The sequence below is a fragment of the Homo sapiens genome, chromosome 5 (assembly GCF_000001405.40).
Source record: "Homo sapiens chromosome 5, GRCh38.p14 Primary Assembly".
NCBI lineage: Eukaryota > Metazoa > Chordata > Mammalia > Primates > Hominidae > Homo > Homo sapiens.
Genome location: NC_000005.10, coordinates 73,920,599 through 73,942,526, shown reverse-complemented (window position 1 = coordinate 73,942,526; position 21,928 = coordinate 73,920,599). Strand labels below are relative to the sequence as shown.

The 21,928-nt window shown below is 38.4% G+C and overlaps 1 protein-coding gene across 4 annotated transcripts in view; it reads right to left on the bottom strand.

Annotated features, from left to right (window-relative positions):
• Positions 537-21,928, bottom strand: part of ARHGEF28 (Rho guanine nucleotide exchange factor 28) — a 315,795-nt gene continuing 294,403 nt past the window's right edge. For 3 of the 4 annotated variants that reach the window (NM_001177693.2, NM_001388076.1, NM_001244364.2), the window contains one exon: positions 537-1,683. In NM_001177693.2, the coding sequence (NP_001171164.1) occupies positions 1,514-1,683 (170 nt within the window). In that variant the 3' untranslated portion in view covers positions 537-1,513. Of the gene's footprint in view, positions 1,684-19,362; positions 19,441-21,928 lie in introns of all 4 variants that reach the window. The other variant, NM_001080479.3, reaches the window with a different exon arrangement.

Here is a 21,928-nt window from a genome sequence, read left to right as displayed (position 1 = left end):
GCATGCTTTTCATTCAAGAGATATAGGATCCTGGACTAGACTTTATTGAAGAAAGAGGAAAGACAGATATTTCTAGATGTCTTTAGGAATGGGAGATACATGTTGTAATTGAAGAGTTCAGCTTAGAGGTGAAGTGATTGAATAGAAGTTTAATAAGTTATATCCATTCTGTGAAAAGATCAGTCACCGAATTTTTAATGTAATTGTTACAAAAATAGCCAGCTAAAGTCAGAAAAAGACTGCCCCCAAAAGGGGCTTTTAAAAAAATTAGGATTGGACTTGCCTAAGTAAAAACACAATGTAGATATCCAACTTAACAACTTTAAGTAGGGAGAAAAAACTATTGAGATCCGGGTGATTTTTTTTTTTTTTTTTCTGTTCCTATCACATCTCACTCCCAGTAGGTGTTGCATTTTTGGATGAATCTAATAGTTTTCCTTTATTTTCACTTTTCACGAGGTGAGATTAGATGTCTGTGTGAAATGAATGTTTTACTATGGTCCTACACATAATGTTAAAATTACAAAGTAAAATAATGAGGTACAAGATATTTATTGACACCAAAATACATACAAGTATTTCCGAACAAGATGAAAATATCTCCTGGTTTCTCACACAGAGACCCATACTACTCGGAAGGCAGGATATGCCAGTTTTCCTTTGTGGAAAAGTGTATCCAGGCAGCAAACTTAATGAGGAGTGGGCAGTTTTGTCCTTAAAAAACTGCAGGGAAGGGTTCTTTCCAGGGAGTGGTAGTTGGTGCTCCAGGTGCTGGCAGGGACAGGACAGCTGATTGATAGAAGTGAGGGCTCTAACAAAGTTCACTATTTACATCAAAATGACTTGATGGGGGCTCTGGGCCTCTGGGCCTTGTTAAAAGATGATGCTGAACCATGTCTTGAAACCCCACCAGCATTAGGCTTAGGTACTAAGCAAGTCCGGACTGTATCCCTGGCTCAGTGACTGACCAATCACAACACGTGCCCAGTTGAATAGTGACTGTAACAGATCACCACTTTTAATGCTCCCAGAAGAAATGAGCACACAAAAACTAGCTGAGAAAAACCCTTTCCCACATCCTCCTCTGCCTATGTGGGCACTGAGGCAACTGCCCTGACTGTGAAAGTTCACCCCTTGTGAATACCACTCTTTAAATCCAAATTGCTTCATTGAGATCTTAAAAGGAATCTTGAAATCCAGATGATTGGGTAGAAAATGTGACATGGAATTTTACTCTAGCGTCAAAACAACTTTTAAAATAGTCCTGCTTATTCAAGTTAGTTTCTCCTCCAGAAATCTGAAATTAGATTTGATAAGTTAAAGATTATACAAACAGGGTGGCTTTCAATAATTTAATTAGACTCATGCCAAAAAAATGAGCTTCCAGGAAATATTAAATATTATTCTTAAAGCAATTTGGACACAGACAATCACACATACATAAGGAATGGAGACAAAAAGTTTCTCCCAAAAGTGCCAGTGTTTTGTTTTGTTTGGAAAAATGACAACACAATTAGAGGTAAACAATATTTTCTTTGGCTCCATCTCCAGTTTCCCCATCTTGTCTGGTCATTGTCCTTGTCGGTAGATTTAGCTTTGCTTCTGTTATAAACGCCTGCAGTTGAGGGCGGTGTGAATTTGAGTCATGGGGGGTTGGGGACTCAGTGTGGGAGGTGTCCAAATCTGCAAGAAACAGACAGCACAGGTTACAGGAGGCCACCTGAGATGTACAAGGCAGATGTCTTGGCGTTAGAGCTCTCTAAGATTAGGAAATGCAGTGCCCATATAGTCAGCCACAGAATGGCCAAGCCCAATGAGAAAGGAACATAATAGGTGTCAAAATCATTCATCAATATCATTAAGATATGTTCGATTGTGTGCACAAATGTCTCCTGTGACTAAATATGGGTTACTGTTCATGGGATCTTAAACCGCTGCTATTGCTGAAAAAGGGATGCCCATTTATTTTTTAAAATGGGTGAAAGTCATGGAAATACAGTATATACTCCAGCTATGTGTAAATCAACTATATTTGCATCTGCAGAGCACCTTCCCTCAGAATATCTGTCAGTCAAGAATTGACTTCAAGGCTCAAATAACATATTTGGCACTTTACTGATGTGGTCAAGGGGTGGGGGTAAAAAGTGAAAGAATGAAGGAGACCCTCCAGCCTCACCATTATGCTGTTAATCACAGATCTGTTAATACTACACAAAGTACTCAGCAAGAGCAGCCAGGTTCCTAGGGAAAATCAAGCCAGTTTCAGCTCTGACTGGGTTTGATGTTTTCTGGTTACCTAGCAACAGCAGGACACTGTGTATTCTCCCTTTTTCTGATAAAATCCTCTAATATTATATTTTCAAGGAGAGACAAAAGGGAGGCTTGATTTGAAGAAAGACACTTGCTGCAAACCATTTTCCCTGCACTTGTTCCACTGACCACTCACCCTCAGGCTCAGCCATATGGCAAAATTACAAATAACCAGCTTGTGTTAGAACAAAAACCTGAGTAGGAATGGAAGTCCAGGTGGGAAAGGAGGGCAAATAGCTCTGAGGCCCACCTGCTTATTTTTCAGTCATTAAGAAGAGGCCACATACACCTACTACAAACTTATAAAAATTAAAATTAAAAAAAAATTTAAAGAACATAAAGAAAAAAAAGAGGCCATTGTAACCCTCGCCACATTTTCTTCAAAGCCTCTATTATTTAGATGGATATACACACGTGCAGACATTCCAATGACACAAATGCTTGTGGCCTTTGCCCTCCTGACAAGGATCTTTGGTTGCTAGAGAAGGCAGTAAGCAAGGCTTGGCAGGAATGAAAGGAAAACTCTTCCCAGAAGGCTCCATCTTTGGGGACATGGTGGCCTTGCCACACCTCATTTCATCCCATCTTCCAGTAGGAGGTGGGTCAATGGAGGAGGAGCAGCCAGGGCCACAGGAGCCGATGAAGGTCCCTGGAGGAGCTGCACCAAGGCTGGACTGTGCCTCTGAAGCAAAGGAGGACCCTCAAGGCAGGGGAGGGGAGGAAGAGAGGTAGGGAGGCATGGGGGTGAGGCTGCAACCACAGCTCTGCTCAAAGGCTTAGCCCATCCCTGACCCTTTAGATGCCAATAGGCACAAAGCTTGATTCTACTGCCCCTGATCCTAAATGCTGTACCTCAAATTCCAGGAACTCACTAACAACTGAAAGCATACCTGCAGAAGGTGCCTCTAACTGCCACCATTTACAGAGCACAGGAGTTGTCCCAGGTCTTTTACATTCGTCATCTCTCTCTAAGTCTCAAAATGCTAAAACCCACAATTTACAGGCTGGGAAACCGAGGCTCAGGCTAGTGAAATTCTGACCCACATCATGCAGCTAGGAAGTGATCTGGATCTACGCTCAGAGGATGGCAGCCACGTGATGACTCCTTGCTCTAATGATCAAGACTCTCGTGCTTCTCATTTCTCTTTGTGCTGAAAATGGCTTGGCCATCTTTTCTGAATTAAGAGATCCTCAATGTTTAATACTTTCCCTCCCTTACATACTACATTTTGAAGAGTCACTTGCCAAAAAAAAGAAGAAAGCAAAGGCAAAAAAAAAAAAAAAAGACATATTAATGTTAAGCTTCTCAAAACTGACACAGCAATTGTTATAGAACTAGGAACCTCCCTTAATCGGGCGAACAAAAATATTCCCAGGCAATGATTTCCTTGTCAGGGCAACATTACAAATCAACCTGGAATGCTCTGAATCCTATTTTACCACACTGGGAGACAAAGCATGCCTGTGGTCACAACACGCAGTCACACTTCCAATTCCTTTTCCCAGCCATAGACTGAAGCTATTTCACCTCTAAATACAAATATGCACAGCTAAATTGCTGATGTTTAATTTTATACAACTTCAAAAAAATGCCCCCAAATTTCCATCGAGCAGACACTGGCAGACTGAACAGGTCACCAAAGCCACAACAGTCCTGCCTCCTTACCAACAGAAGGGCCAGCCAGAGCACAAAAATTACTACATTGAGGATGAAAAATCATCCAGTGAATGAGGCAGCTGGGAGGTCATTGCTGACACATCTGACAATGCCGGACACACTGGAAGCCCTTAATCTATGTAGGTTTTCTTCATCTGGGGTGTGAAACATGGAGCAAAAAATTCAAAATAGTGATATTTTGAGGTACATGGAAAATCCCCTTAATGGCTTCAAGAGAAGACTTGTTCAAAACAGCCAAATTGAATATATATCAGAAATAACTCTTTTTTAAGTTACATTGTATGCTCTACTTCAAGAAGATACAGAACCAAGAATGAACGGGGATGGGGATGGGGAGTTGTGTGTGTGTGTGTGTGTGTGTGTGTGTGTGTGTGTGTGGTGTAGTGTAGAAGTTTAATCAGAACTTTTTCAAATAAGAATAAAAATACAGGAGAAACACATTCCTAGGTGAGAGCTTGTTGTGCCCTAAGGTGAACAGCCCATGTTGTAATTCCAGATGTATTACTGGAGGTGGTTGTGGTTGTATGTCACCTGGACGGGAACTCAATTTCCTTCTCCATGTTCCTTCTTGGTTTCTACCTGAACTATGTAGGCAAGGTCAGACAGTCTGTCTTTGAAATTAGAAACCGTTTGGTGATTTCTGATTTTGTTACTCCATTTCAACTCTGAAAGAACCAGCACAGCAATTGTATATTTCTCAAGGCCAGCCACCTTTTTCCACACTTTTTACCCTAGAGAATATGATCATCATATAGAACCCTAAACTGAAAAAACATTTGTTAATATTAAACCTCACTGACTCAGAAAGCAGAATTCTTGCTATATAAAAGTAATCACCCAGTTTCATTTGTGATCGAATTGCCTGTAAATCGATGGACATAAAAATGTAATAACATATTTCTAATAAGCAAGGAAATAGCAATACAATCATAATTTGGTCAACTAAAAACGAATATTATTATAATGAAACAAAACTCAAACTACAAAAAAACATTTCAGCCAAGTATCTCAACACAATTTTGCCTCTTGACATAAAAGAAATAATTTGATCCCTAACATTATCTCTGGAAACTAAACAGAGCGAGCATTATTAACCTTTAGAGCAAATAAGCTAAAACACATAAAAGCCCCAAAGCCTGACTAAACCAAGTAGAAAAGTGGGATCTTGATTGAGAGTTTTTTCTGCTACATTACTGAGCTTTTGTTCACAAACTAAAATTTCAGCCTCTGCAGGAAACTTCGATACTCACATTATGAGGACCACCGTGGGGGGTCTAAGTTAGTCTCCTAACATGGTTTCAAAAAATTACAGGTATCCACATTTTGGCTGGCACCATTCCTTTTCTTTGTGGGCATGTGGGACAGGAAATAGACTGTCAAGAGACACACCTGCAGACAGCACTGATATCCAGAGAAAGTTTCCTAAATCTCCCAATATTTAGCCCTTAGGTGCAACCTGCTGGTTGGAACTTGCATTTATCATTTTTCACACTTTTCTCTGTTTACCCAATACTGACATTTCTAACAGTGAAGAGAAATCAGCCTTCCCTCCATTGGCTCACCATTATCATCATTCTTTTGAGCCAACTGACTAGTTGGCTATTTTCAAGACCAGACTATCATCTCAGTGCATAAAATGCAACTATGTGTCATATTTAAAATGAACAAAGTGGCTGGGCATGGTAGTTCACGCCTGTAATCTCAGCACTTTGCGGAGCCAAGGCAGGAGGATCACTTCAGGCCAGGAGTTTGAGACCAGCCTGGGCAACATAGTGAGACCCTGTCTCTACAAAAAATAAAAATAAAAGTAAAAATAATAAAATGAACCAAGTGCCTCCTAAACTGTGATGTGAATAAAATCTTTTACATCACAAGGTAAAATGTAATCTCAGGCAAGTCATTGCCCCTCTCTGGGCTTCAGCTCATGAAGGATTGAACTGAAATCATCATTAAGGCCTCTTACACTTCTCATGTTATGTGTGAAATTTTACAGTTGTATTTGGGCTCAGTGATTCACCAAATAATATTCCTGAGGTACAAAAAATGCATTTTTCAATTGCTTTATACTTGAGAAACACAACCAAGTTCATTATCTGACGCAGGTATGAAGCGTTGAAATGCAGTATGCAGCATTTCAAAATCATGTTTTTAAGGTAATTGCCACACTTGTCCCAGCACTATATCTTCAGTCTTCCTAAGAACATATATTTGAAGTGAGCCCACACACAATCCTCAAAAGATAGTATTTGCAAAGTTAACTAATGAGCAGAAGACATTGTCCATAATCAAACTCCGCAGTTGATCTGCCCTCCTACGAACAGCAAACTTAAGAGTAACTTGTCATAAAGAATAGGTCTGTGACAAGTAGAAAAGCGTTGTCTTACAGTTTAAAAGTAATTAATGTAGGCTTTGCCTTTTTCTGAATTTCCTGCTGAATAGAAAAGCATCATGATCGTGATCATTGTTAAATGAAAGTTTTATTTAAATCTAAATGCACCAGTATCTCTTTCCTCATAAACATCCACTGTCAAGGTCTGAATTTAGCTCACCAGTGCACCCCATGGCCAGGCACCCAGAAGCCCAGGGCTGCACAAAGCATGTTTAGTCTGCCATTGAGAGCACTGATGACGCGCTGTTCAGTTCTCTCCCTGTCTTATCCCATTCCATCCTCCCCATCAAAGGTCACAAAACAGAACTGCGTATCTTCTGAGCCTTGGCTCTATTCTTGTTTATTTTAATCATGTGTCTGACTTGTACTTCTTATTACTATATCCCTTGTGCATGTTCCTAAATCAAAAATTCACACTTTCCTAGAATAACTCTACTTAAAAAAAGGCGGGGGGCTTTATCATTACTGTTCCAACTCTGTAATATAAGTTATATTCCCTGTTTAGTGGTTGATTCATATTTACCCTCTGAAACATTTAAAAAATCATTTCCTGATGGCATTACTGGCAATCCCTATGGTTTCTCAGGAGCATTAATGCACAACATTTTTTCTTCTAATGGAAAACATTTATCATACAGAGCTTGAGGTATCTTCAGAGCAAATAAAAATTGGTCTGTGTCCCTAATAATTTTGTGCAACTCAATTTTTTTCCATAGTGAGCCACAAATAGGATGTGAGCCCCTGGCATGACAACCAGTCTGGAGTTTATATCTGAAGCAAACACTCTAAATTAGTATTATAATTCCCTTTTCTATTCTTCATATGCCAATACTGCACCTGAAATAAAACAACTGAAGTGTGCTGTGGGGTGGGCATGTGTTTGTGTATGTATGTGGCATGTATAACACATGTACAAATTTGTGAAGTAAGAGCAAATTGTGTTACAATTTTTTAAGTTGTGATTGTGGGAGTTGAACTTTAATCAGTACTTAACATATTTGGAATAGTCAATATGGGCTATATAAGCAATGCTGAGAAGAAACAGAAATGAAAACAATCCATACAATGAAGATGAGATTATATTAACAGGAGATATGATACAGTACATCAGTCCTCTCTGCTGTCTGAACTTTGATTCACTCTCATGCTCTTCCTTCCCTCAAGAAGAAGGCCACTGTTAGGGAGCCATGGCCTTCACATCACAAGCCCCGTGGGAGTATGGGGCAAACAATTCTACATTTCCCTCTTCCTTGAGATGCATTTCAAAGTATGTTTCTCTAAACAGGATGCCAATAGATATTGACGATAAAAGAATGTAGTGGTCAAATAAACTGATGAAATTCCGGGTAAATCAAGTTTGTTAATCAACAGATCCCTCAGAACTTTAATAGGCTCATGTGTATTATAAATCTCTCAGAGCAAAAACCAGTATGCAGCATCCCCCAAACTCAGGGAGCCTTTTCTCACAGTGTACCCGACAGCGTTGTGTTCCATGTAACATAGCTGGAGAATAGTTCATTCAAGAATTAGAAGTCTATTAAAGATTAAGAAAGAGACAATAAATGGTCAAGATGCCAGAACAAATCAGGAGTGAGAAGGTGGAAATAGGTGAGCTTTTCCAAATTCAGAAGCTTCTAAATTCTGCATGTAACATCTATATTACACCCAGGCAATAATTATCAATGGCTATTAAAATCATTAGGAAAAAAGCTGATGTGAAACTTTACAACAGATCAAGCTGACAACATCTGGACCCAAGGATCAATTTTAATAACACAAAAAGAGAAACAGACATTGTGTGCCACGTGATGAGATGCAATTTACAACACCATCTATGTATATTATTTTCATGTCAAAAAATAAAGCCTGCATCTAATCAAATCTGTATTCCCAGTTACCAATTTACAGGAAATATAGGGGCAGAAGAATATTTCAAATGACGCGATGGGAATGCAATCAGGAAAATCCAGAATGTGGGGAATATTTCAGAAAATAATTGAACCTGTCTTTTCCACAGATAAACAACACAGTTCTTATGACTCAAGAGGCATTTAATAAAATAAAAACAAACAAAAAACACAACCCAGACTTTTTAACAATTGTAAAATTTTTTAAAGGCGGCAACAGAACTTTAGATTAAAAGAGACTTAAGAGACACACCAACCAAATGCAATATATGAAATTATTTGGATTCCAATTCAAACAAACTGAGGGGGAAAAAAAAAAAAACATTTATGAGACAATCCAGAGAAATTCAAATACTGACAGCATGATTTTAAGTAACAACTGTTAATTTTTTTTTAGATGTGATGATCATATTGTGGTTATGTTACAGAAAAAAAAGAGTCCTTATCTTTTAGACAAAGGTATTGAAGTATTTCTGGATGAAATGATAGGATGTCCCGGATTTGCTTTAAGAGAGCCCAATGCAAGAGAAGAGAGAAAAGGCACTGAATTAAGACTGGCTGTGGGCAGATGGGGTTCACTAAACAATTCTCTCTACTTTTGAATAGGTTTGAAAAGTTCTATAACATTTTAAAAGTCTATAGGCTTCCATATATTTGGACTACAATATTATAAAGGGTTCTGTTATTCCAACAGTCTAGCTTCTATATATCTGATATAAATGGAACACTGGGGCAATAAATTAGAAGCCTCTTCTGGATGCCAACTATGTTTAGATCAATTTTAATGCAACTGTATGACAAGTCATTGGCTAGGGCATGTATGGATTTATATCTATTTAGAAAGATACACAAATTGTGTGAACCTACGCTATAAAATGGATAAGGTTCATTTGAGCTTATAGCTACCCATTAAAAAGAAGATAGATTCAGGTATGGGCTTTGCTCTTGCCTAGAAAATCTAATAACATCTCCTATGTAAAACAGAATTCAGGAAATATTTCATTTTATAGCTTCAGTGTATCTGTCCTTTGAAATGAGTTAACGTTTTCTTGGAATTTGGATTTCTATTCTCCAGTCTTTTAAATTTGAGTTCATTTAAAGCTTAAAAAGTAATATGTAAGAAATAGGAAATAGGCCGGGCACGGTGGCTCACGCCTGTAATCCCAGCACTTTGGGAGGCCGAGACGGGCGGATCACGAGGTCAGGAGATCGAGACCATCCGGGCTAACACGGTGAAACCCCGTCTCTACTAAAAATACAAAAAAAATTAGCCGGGCATGGTGGCGCGCGCCTGTAGTCCCAGCTACACGGGAGGCTGAGGCAGGAGAATGGCGTGAACCCGGGAGGCGCAGCTTGCAGTGAGCCGAGATCGCGCCACTGCACTCCAGCCTGGGCGACAGAGCGAAACTCTGTCTCAAAAAAAAAAAAAAAAAAAAAAAAAAGAAATAGGAAATAAAAGTAGTATAACTAGTCCAAAACTACCGAAGTAAATGTCAGGTCATAATAGTAGTAGGTTTCAACATATATTGTCAAATGAATAAATGAATTAGTGAATACTTAATTTGAAAATTCTAATATAATTAGAGTCATGAGAAATCACTAATTTGGAATTCTTATGTTTAGAAAGGATATTAAAATTAAATTTAGCCTAATCCTTGTCTTCTTAGCAAAAACAAACTGAAAATGTAGTCAAGATAGGATTACATTGCAGGGCTTCTCCTGGTTGGCCACTAGCATTATTTGACCTTGGGTAATAACTTTACCTGGAACTTCCATTTCCTTATTTGTAAACTTGGGCACTTGAACTAGATAGCAGTCAGCCCTCGACTTTTTCCCACCATGACACTCAGAATGACATTCACTCCCATAGATTTACCCAAATTATAGGCTGTGTCACAGATGAAACAGGCTGTAAATTATTAGCAATTCCTAGGCTAACGCGGTAACTTCAAGCTCTTTACGCCATGAAAAAGTATGTCAGAATGAAGTGAGGGACAGAACTGTTATTATGAGAAAAACTAGAATTTTCTCTAATTTATCATGATACATATCAAACTTTAGTAGTTTACAAACTTTAGTAGTTTCTCTGTTATTTCCAACATAATACTTGGGCCACTTCTCAATACTGATAAAAATAGATGAAGGTACACATATGCTTGAACTGAAATATTTCAAGTTTCTTAGAACACTAACCTTTTACATTTTAACACCAAAAGCTTCACCATTTACGTTTGTTTTTAAGGTATTTCAAGGTGATCTATAAATGTAAACAGCCAGGCTGTGGAAAACCTTTAAAATTACAAAAACAACATAATGTATGGAGTACTTACTAAATGCCAGGCATTGTTCTACATATTTTGTATACATCTCTTATTTGATTCAATCCCACGCCAATCCAAAATGGTAGGTAAACTATGAAATAGGAAAGCAGGAGTCTAAAATAGAGACAAATCTAACTTGGAGAAAACAACACAACTCAGGAACACAGAAAGCTGAAGAAAACTTCCAAAAACCATAGTTACTATCTTCAAAGAACTATTTAAGAGACATTTCAGCCACAAAACAAGATTCCATAAAATAGCAGCTGTAACAGGAAAAATATCTTGAAAATTTTCAGTATGCTAGCTAGTATTTTTTAAACAATCAATGGAATAGTAGGAGTTAAAGAACAACAAAAAAGCCCCCAGAAAATAGAACAAAAATGTGAAGAAATGGAAATGGATGGAAAATGAAACAAACAGAAAAATCAGAGGATATAAAAGGTCCAATTTCCAACCAGCAACAGTTACAGTAAGAAAAAACTGAAGAGAAGCAATTATTTTTTTAAAAAATAGAATATCTCCCAGAACTGAGGGAAATATACCTCTAAAGTGAAAGAGTCTAATAAATAACCAGTAAAAATGACTTTAACGAAAGACCTCACTGAAACATGTGATAAAATTCAGATAAGGGGACAAAAAAGACAATTCTAAAATTATCCAGAAAGTAAGAACAGGTTACAAACAAAGAACCCAGAATCGGAAAGGCATCAGACTTCTCAATAGCAACCCTGGAAAGTGGAGTCAAACCCTTGGCAACAGGCTGGAGGAAAATAGTTTTGTATTCTAGAATTCTAAGCCCAGACAAATTATTTAAAAAACAAGTGTCAGAGTAGCAAAAATAAAATGAGAAGGACATTTCAGCTAATCTGGAAAAAATTTCCTTTAATCAGACTTTTTCTTAGGGAGGGCCTGGAGATATGTCCAACCAAATAAAGGAAAATACTATAAAGGGGAAGCATGAGACTGAGGGCACAGAGGTTTCAACACAGGAGAGAGAAGGGATGGCCCTGGGTGACCACGCAGAGCAGGCCTGGAGAGCAACAAGTCCATATTGGAACAGAAGTACAGAGGACCCTAAAGGCAAAACTTCCAGGAAAGAAAATGAAGCGGATAGATGTTGACTATATTGAGTATGTGTAAAATAACACTGATAAGTTGAGAGAGGCATAGGAGCTTTGGAGGAAAACATAGCAAGGAGTAAGGGAGAAGGTATGCAAATAAAAAACAAGGCAGATGGTTAGTCTCAGTAGGATGGAACAGCATAGTCAATCACATTTTGAGTAGTTTCTGCACTTGCAGTTGAGTTTTCTCCACCTAGAAAGAGCTTAGTTCTCACGAATGTCCTTTTCGAATCTTAAAGTGTTCACGTGTCATTGTAAACATGATTTCTCTGAAAACCACTCAAAGTACAAAATCTATTAAAGCTATCCCAAAAGAATTAACTTGTCTATATAATTAAGAGTGAACACATTTGAAACTCCAAAATCTGCTGTGAGTCAGAAAAAACTTTTATGAACAGGAAATTCACAGAAGGAGGAACCTAAACAGCCAATAAAAATGAAATGATATTAAATCTCATTGGTAATCAGAAAAGTATGAAAGAACAAGTTACCATTTCATGCCCAGCATATGGGCAAATTTTAGAAGCCTAACAATGCTATGAGCTGGGTAAGATCTGGGGGAACTGGAGTTCTCATATCTTGCTGCTGATAGTTATATTGTACAACAACTTTGGAGCAAAATCAATCATCGCTGGCAACAGTGAAGACATCCTTACCACTTCTAGGTGTTATACTTGAAATAAACTCTCATTCATGTGACTAAGGAGATGTGCATAAAAAGATGTTTACTGCTCTCCACTTCTAATAGGAAAAAATTGGTAAGATCCCGTAAATGCTCCTTAGTAATAAATATACTAAAATTTTTTCATTAAAGTGAAATATAGCAGTTTAAAATGAGCAATTTGTGTCGCATGTATGAATATGAAAAAAACCAAGTTGCAGAAAGTACATATATATTTAAATAGCTATATAAGCGTTAAAAACAAAAAATTATGATATTTTGTTTTTAGATATAAATATGTAGCATTATAAAAATGTAGCGGTAACACAGACACATACTGTGGAAATCATATCCACCAACTTTAAGATATTTGCTAACCCTAAGTAGGAAAAACAAAGGAAAAGATATGGGTAAGGGCCTTTAGCAATATCTGTAACATTTTATTTCTCTAAAAAAGCAAAAAGGCGAAGATCTGAAATAAATATGGCAAAATGGAAACATTTGTTAATTGCATGCCTAATACATAATTTCTATACTTTAAAAATATTCACGATTAAAACTTTCATATTAAAGAATGTATTAAACTACTGCACACAATTGTGTGGTTTTATTTGGATCCTGAGTCAAAAATAAACTGTGAAAAGTATACACACACATAACATTTGTGAAACAACTGGCAATCTAAACATATGACTATATGTTGATATTATGGAATTATTAACTTTTTCTTAGGTGTGATAATGATTTTAAAAAGAGAGCCTTATCTTTTAGAGACAAATACTGAAATGCTTATGGATGAATAAATACTTATAGATACTGTTTAAGATCCGCTTCAAAATAATACAGTATGTATTGGGGGTAGGAGTCTAGAAGAAACACAATTAGGCATAAGTTCCTGATTTTCTGAAGTTGAGTGATCAGAACATGAGTGGCTATTATATTATAATTTTGTATATGTTTAAAATTGTCCATAATACAATCAGGTAGACAAGAAATATGTCAAAGTCAATTTGTAAATAATCAAAACAAATTAAGATAGTCAATCTTGGAGTCTCTGTTAAGAAGTAGGAACTTTTCTCAGGAGGCTGAGGCAGGAGAATGGCATGAACCTGGGAGGCGGATCTTGCAGTGAGCTGAGATCACACCGCTACACTCCAGCATGGGTGACAGAGCGAGACTCCGTCTCAAAATAAATAAATAAATAAATAAAAAGAAGTCAGAACTTTTTCTGAGCGCGCTGAATTAAATGACATACAGGTCATCAACCTCAAGAATGGGGTAGTATTCTCATGACTCTGAATTCCTCTTAAGGCTCTAGAGACCAGGGACTTCTAAGTACCTTGGCAAAAAAGCCAACTTTCTGGGGAGCGGCCTGCCTCACAACCCTACCCACACTAAAAGAGTTATGCCTCTCATTTTGCTGAGAGAAGAAAAATCAAATTCATTTCTCTGCCAGCTGAGTAAGGCAGGAAATCAACCTAGGAATTTTAATGCTGCATTTACTTCTTACTGGTTCAGTAGAGGGAAAAACAGCTGTTAAAATTCTTAAGCATACAAGATGCAATGTTTTTCTTTGAGCCAGAGAAGAAGGCAAGCAATTAAACCTAACACACCCAAGCTAATTAGTTCTACCTGCTTCTTAATAATTATGTTATTACCAGACTTCTTAAAAATTGGCAACCAATTCTTTTTAATTTTTAATTTTTTTGCTGTTGTTGTTTTTTGAGAAAGAGTAGGACTATGTCACCCAGGCTGGAGTGCAGTGGCGCGATCTCAGCTCACTGCAACCTCCACCTCCCGGGTTCAAGCCATTCTCCTGCCTCAGCCTCCCACGTAGCTGGGATTAAAGGCACCTGCCACCATGCCTGGCTAATTTTTGTATTTTTAGTAGAGACGGGGTTTTACCATGTTGGTCAGGCTCTCGAAAGCCTGACCTCAAATGAGCTGCTGGCCTCGGCCTCCCGAAGTGCTGGGGGTACTTCTAAGGTCTACAAATGATTGTTTTTTCCTCTTTATCAACTACAAAATTATGAGATGTCAAAGAACTTACATACCTATTCTGGTTTGAGAAATTGATATTCACAGTATTCAGGAAAACATAAAACTTTTTTCCTTTTAAAAATGAAAAACATTATTTTTTTAATTCTTATTTGTTTGAAATGACATCTGCTAAGAAACCAAACCCTGAAACATCTTTCCGAACCACAGCCACAGCCTTGCGTTTGTCACTCGTAAATGATTATAATCTTAAAAGTACAACCTAACATATAGACTGTGTTTCGTTTAGTGCAGATATGAATACCCTCAGGTGTTCTTTTTACATTTAAGTTTGTTATAAGAATAAAGGTCCCTCTTCCATATTTCTAGAAATTAAACTTAAACATTTTTAGGAATTATACAATTATAAAATTAGGCAGTTTGTAAAACAGAAGAAAAATTAGGCCCTTAAAGTACCAAAACAGCAATCAAAAGAGAACATAAAGCCAGATGTTGTGGCTCGTGCCTATAGTCCCAGCTACTGAGGAGGCTGAGGCAGGGGGATCACTTGAACCCAGGAGTCTCAGGCCAGCCTGGGCAACCTACTAAGACCCAGTCTCATGATAAATTGCTCTATTCCTTTACTCCTTGGAGCCATCTTTCCCTATGGGAGATGACTTTAAATTGTTTAGTGCATACAAATGATATATAGCAATAATCTAGCTTTTGATATCTGTGCTTCCTGACAACATCTGACCTGTGACTAGCACTGGATCCTAAAGAAAGGTTTTTTTAAGACAGTCTTGTTTTGTCACAAAAACTGGAGTGCAGTGGTATGACCACAGCTTACTGCAGCCTCCCAGGCTCATGTGATCCTCCTGCCTCAGCCCCCCAAGTAGCTAAGACTATAGGTGCACTCCGCCATGCCTGGCTAAGTTTTTTATTTTTTATTTTTATTTTTTTTTTTAGTGATGGGCTCTCGCTATGTTGCCCAAGCTGGTCTTGAACTCCTGGGCTCAAGCAATCCTTCCACATCAGCCTCCCAAAGTGTTGAGGTTATAGGCATGAGCCACTGCACCTGGCCAAGAAAGCAGCTGCCTTTCAATTGTCCACCAGGTGACATGAATTCCCAAGTTTGTACTAAAGCCTCCTCTTAAGAAGGAGCTATGGCATTACCATGTAATTAACTCCTCTTTAATGGAATCGGCCATCAAGAGCAAGGATCATGAAGACTAGCATCAGCTACTTAGTGGCCAGCAGCCTCAGCTCCTATCAGACTGCTGAGGGCCACTACATACGTGTCCCTTAAGAAGCCTATTACCTCACAGAGCAGAAATACACAGACAAGTAGAATAAAAGCAGAATATCCTGCTAAGTGGCTAATGAACATTGTCCACAGGTGGACACCATCTCAAAGACTCTCCAAAGAGAGCAAGCTTCCAGATGTGGTGGCCAAGGAACACTTCAGAGAGGAGAAAGCACATGAACTGAGCCTTGAAAGCTGCCCAGGGTGTCCACAGAAAGAGATGGCTGTGGCTGCATGTGGCAGGCCTTCTGGGTGGAGTCTGTGGCCATTGCAAAGGGGAGAGAATGCAAGATGTCACAAAGTAGGGAGAGTTGTCAAGTTTGGCTGAAACATGTATTTGTGCAGGTGAACCAAAGGGTAGGGGGGGATGAAAAAGGAGGTTTGGGAGGGTCTTGAATGGGAGTGTTGGGAGATTTAACTGCAGGAGGTGAGCTCAGCTATACTGGTGATCAGGACCCTTCTATGGCCTGTGTCAACTTGCACACCTGATTTTACCTGCACATGCTGCCACCCTGAAACGAGAGAGGCAAGTCCAAGAGCACAGTAAGAAGGAAGCTATGTCTCTCTTGTTTTTGCCTGCCTATAATCAGCCCACATTTAGCCAATAAAATTTCCATCTCCTTGATGGACAGAGCATTCATTTTTTCTCAGTTAGTAGTAGAGATGTCAGAATGAAAACTGATTTGAACTTCTTATTCATTCATTCTTCAATAAACACTGAATGTCTAGCATGTGCCCTGCCCTGGGCTGGACACCAGGAAAATCACGTTGAACAAAACCTGGTCTCAGCACCATGGAGGTTTGTAGTCAGGACAATCACTATTTCACAGTATAAAGCTGTTGCACAGTTTCTTGAAAGTTAAACAGACACCTATCCTAGCAGCAATTCTCCTAAGTATTAATCCAAGAGAAATATAAACATAATTCACAAAATCCTGTACAAGAATGTTTATAGCAGCTTTATTCAGACTGGCCAAAAATTAGAAATAAGCCAGATGTCCATCAACAAGGAAGGGATAAGTAAACTTTGGAATATTCATCAATGAAACATAATACAAGGGAACCAACTATGGGCTCATGCAACAACATGGTTGCCTCTCAAAAATAATATGCTGAGTGAAAAAAGCTAGGCCCCAAAAGGCACAAAGTGTTCCATTCCATTCCATTCTAGAATCAGCGAAATTCACCCATGGTGATGGATTGCAGAGGAGTCGCTGCTTTGAAGGGGAGGGGTTGACTGGAAAGGGGCATATGGGAACTTTCTAGGGTGACAGAGTGCTCTGTGCCTTGATATTCTTCCCACAAAACTGACTGGACAGTAGACAGTATCTGAGCATTTCCCCCTATGTAAATTATGTCTCAATAAATAAACTGCATAAAGCAAACAAGTGAGAAAATACTGTGGAAGCACGTGGCCCTGGAGCCAAGTCCTGAAAGATTAAGTATGGGGTCATCAGGTTGAGAGTAAAAGGTGGAGGAGAGAATATTCTCGATAGAGGAAACACATGTACAAAAGGTTGGGGATGTGGGGGTGCGTAGCCTTCCACACAATGAACAGAATTCCTATGGCTGGAACACAGGATGAGAAAGGAGAGAACAGCATGAGCCGAGGCTGAGAGATCGAGATGCAAGCGTATCGCCTCCTGTGCCTCATAAAGGGTGAGGGACTTCCAGCACATGGAGGGTTTGAATAAGCCCTGGAAAGCTGATGCAGAAAAGCTCTAAGAGGTCTGGATACCAACCCTTATCCACGGGACCAAAAACTGGCCTGGGGGCTAAACAAAGCTCTATCTGAAATTTGTTGTGTTAGATTTGGGTTTCAAAACACAACCCATGTGGCAAATCATGCTAGGATATGTCATTTGAATTTCAACTGTTCCAAAGGGAGGAAAAATGTCTTTGAAGGGTATGCCGCATGCAGTGAGTTTATTTCAATATCCCCTGACATCAGTGTTTTTTCCACAGTGTATTTCAAGGAATAAGTAGTCTTGCAAGATGCTGGCCTCCAAAGGAGGATGCTGTGGTTGAAAGGGTTTGGGAAGGGCCAATTCTGCAGATTCACAGTGCACAGGAGCACAGTAGAAGTTTGGGAAAAGTTGTGCCTTCCCAAAAATCAGCATTTCTCAATATTATTTGATTATGGGAAATTCTTATATAATACCTAATACTAACATCCAAACTGTGGAATAATTTTTGAGGTGTGCTGATTCATGTGATACCCAAATGAGGCATAACAAGTCTCTCTGGTCCCCAGAGCAACCACTTTAGAAGCAGCCCAGTGGCTCGAATGCACCAAATGCACTTCCTAATCATGTACTCCTTTCTCACCACAAGATATAATAGTAACAGTGATAACAGTAGTGTTTATTAAGTGCTCACAAAGGTCTAAGAGTTGTACACACATTGTTTTATGTAATCATCATACCACCTCCAAAGTAGATACTATCAGAAATCCAACTGTAGAGATGAGGAAACTGAGACACCAAGTAAGTTTAAACACCTGCTTAAAATTTCATAGATAATAAATGACTGAGCTGGAATCTGAACCTAGGCATAATTCCCAAGCCTTCCATCTTAATCACTATGCCAGCCTGTCATCTCCATTGTTCAGTATAAATAAAGTGCACTTGATGTGTTCATCCATTCTTTTCTTCACTCAGGTCCCTCACTTAATAGTGAAGTATCAATAAATGTACATAAGGCTCATTACATTGGAAAAGTGTGTTTTCAGTCAACATTTACCGAAACTTGGCTGCAGGCAATGGGGGTTGGATTCATTATTTTTTCATCCTGAATGGCAGTTCCTCACAGGAACATGTCTGGTCTGATTCAGTTCTTGGTCATTCTGGTCAAAAATGATATTGCTAAGCATTTCACTCTATGTAAATTATGTCTCAATAAATAAAATAAATTGGATAAAGCATTTTAGAGTCTATTGCTAAGCAACATCATTTTTGACCAGAAGAAGCTAGGGTTTGTTTCAACCCTAGTGTTTTTTTCTGGGTTAGTGTTAACTCAGTCATTTAATTATCCCTTCATGCAACATATTTTCTGAAACTTTCCTGAACCATACATCCTCAAAGTTAGCCAACAGTCTCTCTAAAGAAACTGAAAATAGTCACCACCAGAAGTCCTGTAAGTTTGTTTGAGAAGATCAATGTTTTACCTTAAGCCCACCTTGTTTTAGACAAAGAAGAATTCAATTGTGTGTCTATCCTATGGTAGAGGGGGTGAAGGGACTGGCTATCATAGTAGGCAAGAGATTGAACCTGACAAATATATTCATCTTACCTATATATCTGTATCTCTTACCTGACAAATACAAAGAGAAAATATTTTAATTTACTGGGCAGCAGCATTTGAAAAAAACCCTCTGTAGTCTTGCCAAGACCAACGATAACTTCTACCAGTAGCATACTTTGATGTAATTTTTCCCAGTACTTTGTTCGCTTCCAGCCGACAGAGTTCAGATTTAGGCTTTTTGCTCCATATTCATGAAGGTAACGGACTCATAGCCAGCTCATCAGAGAAAGGGAGCTCATAAAGACAAATTTAGTATTTGATTTTTTTTTACCATGCTTTATCTCAGACTGCTTGTTTAGCATAAACCAAAACATTTTAAAAACCAAATTATGTAGGTAGTTGAGTGGAGTACCCTAAAAGAAGGCTAAGCACCCCCCTTGCAGTATTACCTTTCAAAGTAGATGTGGTTCCAGTCCACAGTCCCGGGGGAGATGTCAACGTACAACTGCACTTTGTCATACTGGAGCCTGAATGCAAAATATGGCCGCATTACCAGATGCTGACTAACAGACCATCACATTTTGGCCAAAATATTCATTGTGTTTTTTCCCTCCAATTTCCATGCCAATGAAAAGTACTTTGCATTTGCAAAACTTGGTATTTTTCAGGGCTTATGCTGAACAGAAGCATCAAGCATCTAAAAATACAGGATGTGCTCTACTTGTGTCTAACATGCCAATCTGGATACATTAACAAGTAATCAAAAATAGTACAACTTTTTGATAGGAATAAATCCATCATGAACTAGAAGTTTAAACTACTCATTGGAAGTAAAACAGCTTTGAAAACCTTTAGTTTCTTTAAAGAGGGTTCAGTTTTAGTCAGATGGAATATATATTAAACTTCCATGTTCTTGTTATAAGAACATTCCAAAAACAGAACCATATGAAAATGAATAAAGACAACACAATATACACACATCCAAGGGTTTAGGCTTATATAATTTTAAGAATGTTTAATAGCTCTATATTTACTATGCTAAAATTAGAAAAAAAAATCCATCATAGTTAAACAGTTAACTGCAAGGGCACATCTGAAATGACAAGCACACAAGCTTAAGATCCTGAACACGCAGATTCCAGAAGCTTTCGGCAAAGCCAAGTATGTGAAGGCTCCTTGACTTCTGATGTCACGCTATCCTATCTTCTGCCATCTGCCTCTAGCAAATGTCAGTGTATTCCCAGGATGGAAACATGTCTCCTTTCTGAATCATTTCTACAAAGGCTCCCCAAAATATGGCCTCTTGCAGTTGAAAGTGACTGCCCTAAATTCAGAGGAAAACACAAAGCCATGGGCTTCTCTTGGTAATTCAGAATCAAGAATTCCCCATCTAAATGATCAGTGACTAAACCGAATGAGGCGAAAACTTATAGAATCCTATGATGACAGCCCAGTAAAGGGCCAAACAGTCTTTGAGAAATGGAAACTTCAAAACTCAGAATCCACAAGAAAGTCTTAAGGCTTCTGAGGACACTTTAGAAAACAGAACATAAAATCACCTTTTCATCTGGGGTTTTGCATGAGGAAGTCTTTGAGCATGCAATTCCTGTTTTTTTGTTTCTGGTGGATTTATGAGACTCTTAGAGTGCAATGCCCTTATTGCAGTGTTACAACATTCATTCTGTATGATTAATTGATTGCAAATCATTGCACAGGGTGCCGAGATCACTGGTAGGAAGCAGGTCATTAAATAAAATTAAAACTCTGCCAATGTTTTGCTTGTAAACGGTTCTTCCAAAGCCTTACAGCACCATTCCTTAAAAACAGCCTCAATTCATCAGAGAAGCAGAGTCTCCCGAATTTCTAGTGGATGATCCAAATATTCTGTATTTAATACAAACATTCACCATGTTATGTTTTAGAAAGAAAAAGCCATAGTGTAATAAAACTTGTACAAAAAGAGTATGGAAAAGAGTCACTGTGAAAATAATTAAATTTGAACAGCCTTACTATGAAATTGTTCAGCAAAAGGCTCAGAAACCTATCCTGCATAACTACACCCTTTGGAAGCCTACATTTTTCCTTAGGTAAATCTTCAAACCAAGCATTAACATTTCAAATTAAACTGAATTAATATCTTATCCAGAAAGAGAATGGATACTGTGGCCCCTTATTCAAGGAAACTCAACAGTGATTTATCGTGGCAAATTAACATCTCCACAGATCAAAACTAAGGCCCAGGCTTATTTATCATCTGGTCAAAGGTCTGAGCAGAACAACTCTTCCTCCTTAGCTGTGTCTGAAAAGTGACCCACTAAGAACACAAGTATGTTTCAGTCAGTATGGGGTAAAGCAAAGGGATCTATTTCTTAAGATTCAACCACACTTCATTTTAAGTTTGCTATAATAAATATTTGATGTTTCAGGCAACATTTTAAGGCTGATACCTAGAAGGCCATGCCAGGGAAATTGGTTCACATTCTAGGAGCATATTTAACTAAACAAATACTAATTGTTTTTGCCTGGGGAGATGCACTGAACTGTTAAGTAGGATTTAGCAGAAGAAAAAAAGAGTTTAAGAAAGTGTTTCATTGATGTTGAACTGGCCACCCATGCTTGATGTCATGGTATTCAAGCTACTTTATGGTTAAAAAAGAAATACCCCAGTGAACAGATAAGCTGACTAATTGTTATTGATATAACAATTAAATCGTAAATGTGTCATCTTCCTACAGCGACAGCACTGGATTCATTTCTAAAGCTCAGGGTACCATAAAGCATTTTATGGGAAACACATTTTAACTTTTTAAGTTCTCATCTCCTATGCATGGCCATATGGGGGCTATATGTATACAATATTCTAACGGAAAAATAACTCATGTAAAGAGATGCTCTCCATTAGGGCAAATACCTGATGCATGAGGGGCTTAAAACCTAGATGACGGCTGAGGCAGGAGAATGGCATGAACCCAAGAGGCGGAGCTTGCAGTGAGCCGGGATAGCGCCACTGCAGTC